General features: G+C 37.8%; 1 protein-coding gene across 3 annotated transcripts in view; it reads right to left on the bottom strand.

Annotated features, from left to right (window-relative positions):
• Nucleotides 1-1631: 1631 nt before the first annotated feature.
• LRRC1 (leucine rich repeat containing 1) overlaps nt 1632-13602 on the bottom strand; it is a 129121-nt gene continuing 117150 nt past the window's right edge. For 2 of the 3 annotated variants that reach the window (NM_018214.5, XM_011514727.3), the window contains 4 exons: nt 11788-11903; nt 6087-6259; nt 4996-5132; nt 1632-3122 (listed from right to left, as the gene is read on the bottom strand). In NM_018214.5, coding sequence (NP_060684.4) covers nt 2964-3122; nt 4996-5132; nt 6087-6259; nt 11788-11903 — 585 coding nt within the window. In that variant the 3' untranslated portion in view covers nt 1632-2963. Of the gene's footprint in view, nt 3123-4995; nt 5133-6086; nt 6260-6416; nt 6486-11787; nt 11904-13602 lie in introns of those variants that run through there. The other variant, XR_007059279.1, reaches the window with a different exon arrangement.

Raw genomic sequence — 13602 nt, 5'->3', positions numbered from 1 at the left:
ACCTCAGCCTCCCAAAGTGCTGGCATTACAGCTATGAGCCACTGTGGCCGACCAAGCGTCAGTCATTTTACCAGGGAAGGACTGGCTGTTCAGAGTAACTCTCAGACACAGAATTTTCCCAGCCTCCACCCCATTCACTAAGCATGTCTTGTTGGGTGTGGTAGATTTCACAGGAGATGGCAGAAGTGCTGCTATGAGAGGCTGGTGCGAGTGATCCCACCTTGCCTGCTCACCTCATTGACAGCCAGCTAGTATGTTTTTAGACAGAAAGATTGGGTCAGTCAGGACAATTCCTCCAAACTTTCCAGAAAAAAAACAATATCTAGGCAGACATTTTATGATTTCTTACCAATCCCTCTATTCATTATCAATGACTTTGATTATTTCACTTCCTCTCATTTTTTCTCTGGCTATTTTACCCACTGAGACATTATTTTCTTGCTAAAAAGAAGAAATAACTGGCTATGGGAAAAAAAAAAGTGGGTGAACAGGTCATACTAACCTCCTTTCCTGCTTTCACCTGTCACTCCCACAAGACAAACAGCCAGCCATATACTGTACTCCTCCCTTTCCTAAAGGAAGGGCTGGATGGGGACGGGGGTCGTGGTGGGGGGGGGGGGGGCACTGACAGAGAAAGGTATCGTTTCACATAATCAAGTTTTTCTTATAACTATGAGAGGGGCCTTCCTAGAAACGGCTTGGCATGTTCTCAAGGCAGAACTGTCTGGCTGGTGCTGTTTCCACTGTGAAGCTTGAGTTTGGTTCCAGCACCCTGAAGTTCAAGAGCACTGCAGTGTCACCAGCGTAAAACATTCAGATGAAAGCGACATTTCCCTCTCAAAGGAAGCGGGGAAACAAACAAAATCCCCCAAACTGAAAACAAAAAGCAAACTAAGTGAACATGAACTAAAGGAGATAGGCCAAAGGAAATAAACTAGGTGCATGACATTTCCTAGGAAAATTTAAGCACACACACACCATTCTGTCCACCTCCAGTCCAGAAAAGCCATGATGAACTGAGTAGTAAAGGATGGGCTTTATATAAAAACAAACAAAACACGCCATGCAAGTTCTACTTGTTCTTCCACGTCAAGACAATTCTCATTAAATAAAACCAATTTGCTTATATATAATCAGCCCATGAGATAGTGGCATTATCTTTATAAGCTTAAAACAAAATAGAGGATGTCAAAAATCTTAAAACAGAGAAAAGAAAATTGGTATGCACAGATTAGGGAACAAGGTATAAAACTGACCAGCCGAAACTCACTTATGTGTTATGTACTTTCAGCTCCATAAATAGTTTTTAAAATACACACATATTTACATACACACAGACTAAAAAGCTAAGTGAACCCAATAAGTAAATGTATAGAAGTAAAAAAAAGTATTGTATTTGGTTGGTTGAAGACGGGTTTATAAGGAGTCCAATTGGCCAGATAGCCACAACCCAAAATTACTAGCCAGAGTCAAAGGCAATTCTGGGCTCTGCCCCATGTGAATGCAAGTCCCACAGGAGGTCACTCACAACTGACGGGTAATTTAGATATTTAACAGACCAGAGCACACTGTCAAAGAATTTGGCTACCTGCTATCACTTGAACATACAAAGTAATAATTTTAAAAAGCTGTATGGCCAATGTCCAGGATGAATTTATTTCTTGGAGAAAAAAATATATATGATTTTCCTAGACACCACACAGTGACTGGCACTTTTCATTTCTCTTTTATCACAGCATACAAAAAAGAAATCAACAGAAACACACCAAAACTTTTCCCAATATCCCTTAAATTAGCAGATTTAAAATTAAATCTTGAAGCAGTATTTTGTGATACTTTGATTCAAACTCTATTTACAAATTAAATTGCACTTATAAAGATAGCAACATTTCTATTTTGATAGTAGGTTATTTTGCTTTATTGTGGTTGTATATCTGGATATAAAACTTTTAAAGCTTTCTTGAATAAAAATCATTATTTTGCAGTCCATAATTTACTTGCCCACTGAATGTCTGAACCAGTGTTCTCTTTTTGTGTTTTTCTGCTCTATTTTATTTTACAAATGGCACATACCATCAGAGTAGGCACAGTCTGACACTGCACTCATTATGAGAGACTTATTCAGAAAAAAAGTGTAAGGAATAAAATATTAGCAGTCAAATCCTTTGGTTCATCTTTTCAAAAAAAATCAACTGATATAATTACAAATCATTGATAATTCATCTTTTTGGTTAAAAACAAATCCACCAGGTAGATTACTGATTAAAATGCAACACTGCTTTAAAACACCACATTCCTATTCTCATCACACTGTTCAAAGATGCCATTGTTTACAACTGATTGGACATGACACAGGATACAGTAAGGCACAAGTGGATGGTACAAATAAAAACAAATACTTTAGGACTTGTTTTTCTGCACAAATACTAAAATATGTACCGTTTTCAAGATAAAATAACAAAAAAGAAATACATATTTTTGTTATGAAATACCTATACAAAATTTTAAAATTTACACCATCTGAGCTGCCAAAAAAGGTTTAAAAAGTATCCATTTTTCCCCATACATAAAACTATCTCTCATCAGTAGGTCCAAGGGAACTTGGGGGATTCAAAATATCCCAGCACTTTACGGAAGGGAGGAGGATAAAAATTCCCCTTCCTGCTTTCCTTTACCCCAACATAAGACAAAAACAAAGGTCGTATGTTTACAGTAGTGTATTCTACTTATTACAAACAACTGAAATTAAAAAAAAAAAAAATCACACCGGGAGACCACTGGTGCGCTGACTGGTTGCGGGATGAGTAAGGCACTTCCTGGGAGACAGCAGCTTCCCCACACTCCACGGGAAGATGGCGCGCGGGGGCTGGTTAGGACAAGGAGCACGTGAGGCTCCCGGGAAGCAGACAGGAACGTCTCGACAGCAGAGGAAGACACAGGAGGTAAAACTTGGAGGTGAAACTCTACACAGAAGTGGTCACTCGGTCAATGGCATGATTGACCTCGTTTTTGTTTGAGTCCAGTCCTTTAGCAGCATTCATGTCATTCCGTAAATTCTCCACTGTCTTTTTCATGTGCTTTAACTCCCCTGGGTGTGGAGTGGCTCGCCTTAGAAGTGTTCTCTAAAAACAAACAGTGGAGTGAGTGTTTTGGTTTTATTCCACTACTTTTTTCAAAACATGCAGCTTCAAGGCATTAGCATTCCAATACAAATGTTACCTTCTTAGAAATTCTTAAAATGGGTGGAAAAGCTTTCTTTGGATGTATGTGCATTCATCAACTGCCCACTGGTAGTTAAGGAAAAGGGAAAGTGTTCCATGTAACTTACCTAGTTACTATAGAAGGATTACTTTCAGAATAAAAGAATACTTATAAAAATATGAAATTACTATAAAATAAAAAGGCTCCATAAACAGCAAGAACATTTATTTTAAAATTTAGGATATAATTACAGGGTGTGGGGAAAGAAAAAGATAAAAGAGTAAATAAAAAATCCTAAATTAAAGTCACTATAATGTTCTACTATTACCCAAAGCGATTCTGGCTTCCTTCAACCCAGAATGAGGCATGGGAGGCATGGGAGAAAAAGGAAATCAAGAGGGAAGTATACTTTTTCTTATTTTGCTGCTGTGTGTACTATTTCTATGACCTACTGATGAAAGTTCACACTCTTCTAATTAAGACTGGAAGTTAAGTAACAGGGTATGAGTAATTTTTAAAATATTATTTAATATGTTACATGATCTTTAGCTCATAAAACAGCATGTACATCTTTTAAATGGCCTATCCAAGAGCTTTAGGGGGAACCAAACTAGGTTAACAAAATACTGGAAGAGGCAATGAAGTCACTGGTGATAATCACACTCTAAGAAGTCTTGAGGTAAGCATTAAAGAGTCATCCACAGTGAGTGATTTTGTCATCCCTAATTTGCGTTTTGCCCTTTACGATTGTAAATGCCTAAAATCCCATTTGGTGACAGCTGGAATAACAAAGACTATAGGCAATAATTTAAAAACTGCCTTTGTTTTGGGGGCTGCAAGTACTCCCTCTAAGCTCTGCTTAAGAAAACTCTCAATTAGTTCAAGGAATTTAAGAAGCCAAAGTCAACTGCTAGAAAGATGTCAAGCCTTGTCACCAACACCTAGAGATGATGGATGTCTGAGAGACGAAATTTTCAAGTACAGATGAAAGTAATGGTGACTAGTATTTTCCAATTTCTGAACAAAAACTTGTTAACTAATCCAACTAAGATCATAAGCCCTCTACAAGAAGGCTAAGGTGAGCTGGTTACATGAAGAAGGCACAGAGGTCTGGCACTAAGTCAATTCATGGCAAGTGAATGGAGTCAACATGGGAAGAGACAGCATTCACTGGGAACAATTAAAAAAAAAGTTTCTCCATGTTAAGAAAACAGTGGGAGTGGGAGGGGAAACTATTACAAATAAAGAAAAAGAAGCACCATAAAAGCAGGACAACACAACAATAACAGGCCGGGCACAGTGGCTCATGCCTGTAGTCCCAGCACTTTGGGAGGCTGAGGCAGGTAGGTCACTTGAGTCCAGGAACTGTAGACCAGCCTGGACAACATGGTGAAACGTCATCTCTACAAAAAATACAAAAATTAGCCGGTCATGGTGGCAGGTGCCTGCAGTCCCAGCTACTTGAGAGGCTGAGGTCGGGGGATGGCTTGAATCCAGAAGGTCGAGGTTGCAGTGAGCTGAGATCACTCCACTGCACTCCAGCCTGGGTGATAGAGGGAGACTCTGTCTCAAAAAAGAAGAAGAAAAAAAAAAACCCATGAGTTCCATTTGCCTCATTTACCTTTTGTGAGTGAGTACCTAGAATTACCTATCTTTGTCTTCTAAAAAAATTCCTAAATGCTGAAGGCAAAGCAGAGAACATACTAATTGAAAATAAAGAATATCCTTATTAGGTGCCATTCTAATCTTTTAATTTTGAACTTCCACAGAGGCAAAGAATCTGCATTTCCATACCGTCTCATTGTCTTCTTCATCTTTCTCATCCTCCACAAATCGGATCGCACTGACTCTGTTGACAGCACGCTCGTTCCAGGCTTCATCAGAGACATCATTTACCAAGTTCTCCAGTGCACCACAGCGAGGCAGATTCTCTGCAGTGACAAAGACCACATAAGCAGGGAATTGCGTTTCATGTGATCAGTAAATGCTATGAACTTTGCGGCTGACAAGGTAGAATCTATACGGAGGACCAGGGGTAGAACACCAGAAATAAGGGGGGTGTTCTGTTGCAAGTTTGGCTTTAAAACACAAACACACACAAAATTCAAAAACAAAAAGAAAAAGGCCTGGGACAAGGTTGCCCCTTCTTTTTTAATGATGTATAATTCTATTTGAGATCATATAAAATATCTGCTAAATTAATATGTTTACTATTTCATCACAGAATGTCATAATTTAGAGTCCCTTTTAAAATGCTTATTTTATACAACTTCAAAACTGTTCTGACAGTGATGTGGCTGCACATGATGGACACTAGTACTTTCCTCAGTAACACACTCCACCACGTTTTTCTCTAGGGTCTTAAAGTCCTCCCACTTGGGCTCCCATTCCCCCAGGACACTCCGGTTCTCCTCCACCAAACCCAGCTCTCAGCAAAGGGTTTATAATAGCATTTTGCTGTTACTGTGAATTTTTTGTTTAACCACACAATTTACAAAACAAAGATACAATGACTCAAAATAATTCAATGGCTTAAAAACAGTATGCCAGTGGTGTTAATACTAATCCTCTGAACTATCAGTTTGGATTTTAAGAGACTCTGTTACCACTTCTAGAAGTATTGTATTTTCAGCCTTAGCTATAATTCAAAACCAAAAAACTGCTTATGGAATTTCAAACATGATAAATAGATAGGAGTGGCCCTTCTTCTGCAAGGATGTAGGGTAACCTTCCCGGAAGAGTCCCACAGTGGCCTCACCTGAGCTGGCTCTAGGTGCAGACTGGATATAACACAATCACATGAGGGAGTAAGAGGCCTTATGGACAGACATTAGGTCCTACTCAATCTCGTGGCCCTGTGAATACTGTCCTTAAATTAAATTCACCTTGACAAGTAGGTTCAGAAGGCAGCTGAGGAAGTAAGACACAGGTTAAAATCTTCTCTCCTGTGGTGTAGTCTGTGTCTGTCTGGAATGTAAGCAGGGGCTGGGACTGGTTGTCAGATAGCCACAGAGCCTTCAACTTCAAGGCAGTCAGGGATAAAGGTAGATGCAGCAACCTGTTTTTTTTTTTTTTTTTAAAAAAAGAGACATCACAACCTCAAATTTTGTAATCAAATCAATCCCTATCAACAAAATGAGGAAAAATTAAAAGGAGCTTCCTGAGATTGGTTTCAAAATGTAAAAACGGTGTTATGTTTTTAAGACGCAACATACTCTTTGCAAGTGGATTCCTCAGTAGGTTCCTGTGCTTCCCTTTTCTGCTCTCACTTCTCCCATTAGAACCTCCAGATTACAGAGCAAAAAAAAAAAAAAAAAAAAAAAAAAGAGAGAGAAAATTACAGGACACATTTTTATGGTCTTGTACTAGGTTTCAATGTAAAGAGAGAAAGTCAAGGTGATTTTGGAAGGACCCAGAAGGAGGAGTTCTTTACCTCTGATGGCCACAGCCTCACTGACAGGGCTGGTGTGAAGCTGCAGGATTACCTGTTTCCAGGAGCACCTGATGAATCAGGCCAAGAGGAAGGAGGTGCCTGCGGTGTCAAAGCATTTAAGTTGCAGCCAAAATAAAGATTAAACACCATTTTGGATGGACTCCATTTGCTTTCTCTAGGGAGATTATTTCAGTTATTCCCTTCTAAACCTTTATCTCTCAGTTTCTAGAAGCTCTCACTTCTCAGAGTCCTAGGTGACAATTAATATCTATATCAGATTATTTCAGTTTCAAATGAGGTAGTATAAATGAAAGTACTTTAAATGTTATAATGTGACACCTAAATATTAGTTTTATATTTATGTTTGCACAAAGATTTCACAGATTGGCTGCAATCAGTAGAATCTATTTAGTAAAGACCACTGCCAGAAATCATATGTACACCTATCTCCAGTTAACATTAGCAGGAAATCTACTTATACATCTTACCAAAAGTAATAGTGAATTATCAGACACACACAGCATTTCAATTGACAGAACTTACAGGAAATAAACTAGAACTCTCTAAAGATATGAAAAGAAGCTGTATTCCAACAACACAAAACTAATCAGAGTAAATGGTAGGCATAAACTGGTTAAATTACTTTAATAAAAGAAGTAAAAAAAATCAAAGAGTGCATGGACAGTATTAACAACAAATGCATTATTAACAAACTTTTTACAGTAACAATACATTTTGCAAAAGATTTCTGTGTTAGTTTCAAAGATGAGAAAATATTTTCTTTTCCTTAACAATTAGTCCAGTAAAGCCTGAGTCCATCTCATGCATATGTATTGGGTGCAGTACTGAGGAAGTACTGTGAAACTGTAACTTAAGTGGGAGTGAGGTTCTTAAGCCAGTGCATCCACGAGAACTGCTTATGTTAAAGTACCCTTGAAAAGACTATGAATTGTACATTATAAGATTTCACTAATGAGAGCAATATTAGGTGAGAAATACATATTTTTAAATCCTAGAATCCACCCAGTGCCACCATGTGCTCACAGCTAGAGAAGGACACCTGAGGGAACCTCAGGGAACAGCAGATTCACAATTCCATTTCTTTTTCCTCTGGGATATTTGTTCTTTAAGGGACAGAACTGAAATACCTTGTGCTTATACAAAAATTCTTTCTCTTTCTATCCAAAGAATGTTGCATACATGTAAACTCAAATGCGAGGAAGTTAAAAACATGTATTTGCCAGGTACTGTGACAAGGATTTTCTTAAATAGGCATTATACACTGTTAAAGCTTCAAGTACATCAAACTTTTTCATTTTATTGAACACAAATGTAATTTCTTTTAAATTTTTCTCCTACATCTTTTAAAAGAGGAAGCAAGCTAACATCCACTAGAATGTTTAAAGTTTCAAGTCTTGGGCAAGACACTTACAGTCAACATCTCTACCTGTCTTACTCATGAGAACAGAAAGAAGAAAATCAAGACTTGAAAACTGGCACAAAACACAGATACTCAAACGTGGTCACTGTAACTTCTCAGACTAGAAGCCACCTGAATGTTAAAGCAAAAGTATAAATAAGAGGCTAAAAAGAGCATCAATAATATTAATAAATCACAGCTTCTAAGGATGACAAGCCATATGACAAAAGCTAAATAAATTATTAGACTCTACAACAACAAATCTTATCAACATATTTCAACTCAAATTAATGAGTTGCCTGAAACACCAGTTTTGCTTCAAAGAATCAAAGTGCCAACTTGAATGTGGCTGCTGCTGACTGAGTCCACACCACACATGAGCTGCCCACTGTCTTGCGGACAGAAGTGTTGCCAGTGGTGTCCAAGAGAAAAAAAGGCACTGTTCCCTGAACAGTCTGCCCACAGAGATTCTGCAGGCTGGCTGATCCTCTAACTCACTACAGCCTGGGGAAAAAAAGACATACACATGCTTTTCTGTCTCTCTTGGGTAAACCATCCCAGCTACAAGTCAGAAAATGATGAGAAATACATTCCTGCTTTCCAAAGGAGCTAATAATACATTTTTGGTTTATTCTGGTACCTTCTGTACACTACAGAATAAACAGAATCAACGCACAAGAAACCACAGCCCGCAGGCATCTCTGTGTTCTATTTAGGACCACATGCCCCCAGAAATAAAAAACTTGTGGTTACTATTCACACCAATGGTACAAGAACTAAAGCAAATGAATAACCAAACTGTAAGCCTCTTGTCTCCAGTTATGTCCATGACCAACCCAGCCCCAAGTGACCTTCCATGTCTGTGAACTACTATAGCAACTGCTTTCTCAAATTTAATATCTAAGCATGGCCTACTGATTAATATTAACTTCACCAGTGACTGAATACGCCTTACAATGTAGTTTCATCTTTCTGCTACTTTCTACTAGAATTTTTAGTTTTAAGCAAAGTTTTCAAAAATATTTAAAAATATATATAAATTGGGAACATAACTGGCAAAAAATTAAACAATACTAAAATATCTAAAGTGAAAACTCCCTGTACCCTCAAGTCTCATCTAGGGGAACTACTATTAGTATTTGGGTATAATGCACAAATAAGTGATTTTTTTTTCTTTTTTAAGGAAAAAAACCCCACCAAAATGAGAGCTCTATATACTGTTCAACACTTTCCCTTTTCACTCAGTATCTTGGGTCTCTTTCTGTGTCACTGCACAGAGAAATATCTCATTCTTTGACTGCTTAGTATTCCACAACAGTATGCTGTTGTTTGTCTTTTAATATTTTTAATTATTTGGATTGGGTAATAGATACATACAAAGTACAAAATTCAAAAGTATAAGCTATTTCCTATTTCCCAATTGACAACCATTGATTCTAATATTCAGTACTACTAACACTGCAAGTAAGGAAGATCCTCAAATGCCCAGTTTTGCACACTTGGTGGATATTCCTATGGGAGAGAGTCTAAGTATTAAGGAATTTTGTGTTCTGTGCCTGAGTAACTGATGATATAAGACATTTTCTTTACTGTCACAGAAGGTTTAATACTTAGTTTCCAAGTGACAGGTTATAGTCATCCTTGCTATAATTTATCCTACCAAACTGCAAAGAAAGTTTCTAGAAACTCACAGTGTAGGTTTCCTGCTGCCATGTGTTATTTTCATATACTTGAAAGAAGAGGCGGAAGCTTCTATTGTATTTAATGATTTAGTATGATTTCCCATGGTATGACGTTTCTGCAAGCTAAAAGGCTGACAAGGTAGCCCTTTTTAAAAGATTAGTTTCTATACTGATACTTTTAATAAGTAGTGATTAAATATTTTAATAGGCTTAACATTTGGTTATGAATCTATATATGTATGCATGGACTAAATGACACACTTAACTGACTCAAATGACAGCTATGTAACTCGACTTTTTAATTGGGTTTTCTCCATCCCAGCCCAAGCATAATAAAAATTTAACTTTCTCTTTTTCTGAGAACTGGAGAAATGGGCCTTCATTCATGTAAAAACAGTTTTTCGGCATCACAGCCATCTTTCGGCTCAAGAATTGAGGCAAATTCATGCTCAGTAGTGTGGCAAGAACCAGCAAATGTTGACTCATTGAGTTGCTATTGCTAGAGGATAAAGATCAGGAAAGAAGTACCCTTCTCAAGCTGTAAAGGCTCATGCCTTAGTTCTGCTTAGTTCAGCAGAAATCCGAGGTTCAACTCAATTTAATCCTGGGTTTCCGGCAACCAGTTAGTGGTCTTAAGAATCTATCAAGATGTCCTGAAAGCATTAACTCTAAAAAGGTGAGCATTCCCTGAGGCTATAACTCACCTCTAGATTCCAGCTGAGAACTGCTGTTTATTTAGCCCTGCTGTCTATAATCCATTAGCAAGAGTAAAAAATGGTGACCCGTGCCTGACCAAAATGACCAGCTAATCAACACTCAGGAGACAGCCTCCCAAACACTCTTTAGACTGCTGGCCTTTACCATTTAAGATCATTGATAATCTTCCCCCAAGCAGTTGAACCTTTTTCTCCTCTCTAACCACATCACACTCAAAAGCAATTTTTAATTCCTTTTGGCAAGGAAGCCTATGATATAAGACATTCTGCAGTGGGCTGCTATTCATCCTGTAAAACTATTAACATTTTTGTTCCACTGAAAATATTTACCAGGCATCCATTATGTGCCAGGCACTCTGATGGGACAAGTGACACAATGACACATAAATCAGAAGAATATCTAACTTTAGGTAACTTCAGGCTTAGTAGGGTTACCCATATGAAAACAGGCAATTCTCATATGGTACTGTGACTGCCATGGCAGGGGAAATTCCCCAAATGCAGATTCAGAAAGGAGGCTCCCTGGAGAAAATAAAGCTTGAGTGATGAAGAAGAGAGCCAAGGAGCCAGAGAAGAGGGTCCCCAAAAGAAAGAATAGCCTGTTTCTGTTCACAGAGAAGGCGCATATGACATTTAGGGTGCTGAAATTAGCTCAGAATGATGGAAACAAATGTGTTCCACAAAGATGATGAACAGGCATATTTTAGAAAATGGCACTCAGTCCAACATGACCTCTGCTCCGGAACTTGAGAAATGGTGATGCTGTGACCTTGGGGATACTAGTCTGGCGGCTCTGAACTTTTTTTGTATTATGAATCATTTGGAGATTCTGACATTAGCTGTAAACACTTCCCTAAATACACAATTCTGTTTGTATTTTCAGGGGGTTCAGAGTCACCAGCAGAGTATATCAAGGTCCCCTGGTTAAAACTGAGTTCAAACTCATTTGCACTCACTTTGCAGGTGAGGAAACTCTGAAGCCCATGATGATTTACAAAAGCTACTTAGAAGAGCTAAGTCACAACCCAAGTCTCCCCATTCTCAGGTCAGTGCTCTTTCCCTGGCATCACTGTACTGTCATTCTGGGAAGCATTTCTACGAAAGTGTCCACTGACACTTTAACCCATGCTCAGGTTTTCCCTGACCTTCTCTGCTCCATTGGGCTCAAGCACTCTAGCCCCCCTATGAAGGAACTCCCTGAGGCCTAGGTCATTTGAAAAATCAGGATTATATTCTGTAAGATAAAGCAAAGACAAAAATTTGAAGATGCACTGCCAAGATTGGGATGTATGTATATTTGTTTCCCTCAAGCAAAGCAAACTACAACAGGCTTACCTGTTCCCTGCCACATCCAGGACATGAAGTTCTGTTGCCTGTGACACCTCTGCAGGTATCCGAGTTAGTCTGTTGTCACGTACACAGAACACAGTGAGGCTGCAGCACCCGCCGATCTATGGTGAGAAAGAAAATACATCTTTTTTCCAGTTTTCTAGGGGAGATGGAGTAGGATCAGAGTACCTTGTTTACCAAACAGTATAAAAAGGATGCATAAACTTATACCACATAACTCACCGGTCTCACTGATGACCAACAATCATTAATTTAAATCTTACAAAACGCAGCCCCATATGTTCATAAAAATCTCTGCAAAATGTTAGATGTACATGTTCTAAATTAAATCAAGAAAATCAATGATACAGTTAAAAAATTTTATTCTAAAGAAGAAATCATTTTCCACTGCTGATATCTAACGCAACTGCATCTGTTAAATGTTAACCAAACTATACAATCCAGAAAAATACTATGTGGTAATATGTGAGTTTAACAATCCTATTTTCAAAAGTTAGGCCAAAGGTGATACTGATACACACATAATTCAAGACTTGCCCATTATATTAACTTCAGCATTCTTGGTGTTCCAGTTTTTTGTTTTTTGGTTTTTTTTTTTCAAAAAGAGGGGTATCTTACAGATGATACAGTACATTAATTTCCACCATACATCTTTTAATAGCTTTTGGTCATTCACAAATTAATGTGGTAAATCCACTTTTTTTGATGAATGTAAAATCAACAGTATCTTCACAGAAAGTGAACTGAGTAAATCCATACATCCATTTCTTCAGCTGCAGCCTGCTCATAAAAGCACACAAATCAACACCTCCATCCACACCAAATTTGATTACCATTTTTTTAAAGTAAGCAATTTAAAGGTAACTGAGTTTTGTATGAGTCTGGTCTTCAAAAAGGAACATAAACACACAAAAAAATCCAATGATTCTCTTGAACAAATTGGCGGTGGTTTTTACAGTCAGGAAAACTGAATCAAGAGGGCAGAAAAATAGCTTGATCCCAGACACAACATTCTGCAGGACTCCATAAAGTACTACATTCTTCTTGTACTCACTCTCCTGACTAAGGGCAATTGCTAGAAAAGGCTCATGAAGGAACCTATTGATGTCTCTCCAACACATGGAAAAATACTACTCCAGAGCCTCCCACTTGTGAAAGAGCACAAGACTTGAATGGTCAATGATATCTGAATATATCTTCTGCCCTTTTCTATTTATACATGTGTTTAATATATGTATAAAATATCTTCAAAAGCAGAATGCATATTTTTGTGAATGGCTACATAATTACTTTCATACATAATCTTTTTATTTCCTCCCTTAAAAATATAAAGATTTCAAAATAATGTATTGAACCACAATATTTAACCATAATGTATATAAAAGAAAAATAAATATATAAGTAAATGTAGACTAACATTTGTCTCTGGTCATGTGGAAAGCACCCAGATATGTAGAAAGGCTTTTAGATTACTCCCTTTAGTCTCCGCATTCACATATTTCTCATCCCAGCAAAAATGGTCTAGTCATTATACCCTAAATACATTTTTATATTTTTGATCCCATTGTTTTTTATAGAAATGCCTTTTTAAATCTTACCAATGATCCAAAATTAGCTAAACATCGTCTATTCCTCCATTGAGTCTTCACAGAACGCTTTGGTCCATATAATAACACGCATTTCATAATTACGGTCTAACCCTCTGACAGCACAAAATACCACATGAAGAACCCTAAGATCATTTACCTGAGTTACAGCTTATTTGCACATGTTTATGTACACTCAAGGTACTTGGCAAGT

This window comes from Homo sapiens, chromosome 6 (genome assembly GCF_000001405.40).
Source record: "Homo sapiens chromosome 6, GRCh38.p14 Primary Assembly".
In the NCBI taxonomy this organism is placed as follows: domain Eukaryota; kingdom Metazoa; phylum Chordata; class Mammalia; order Primates; family Hominidae; genus Homo; species Homo sapiens.
Note: the sequence above shows the minus strand (reverse complement) of the source record. Positions and strands in the feature narration are given on the sequence as shown.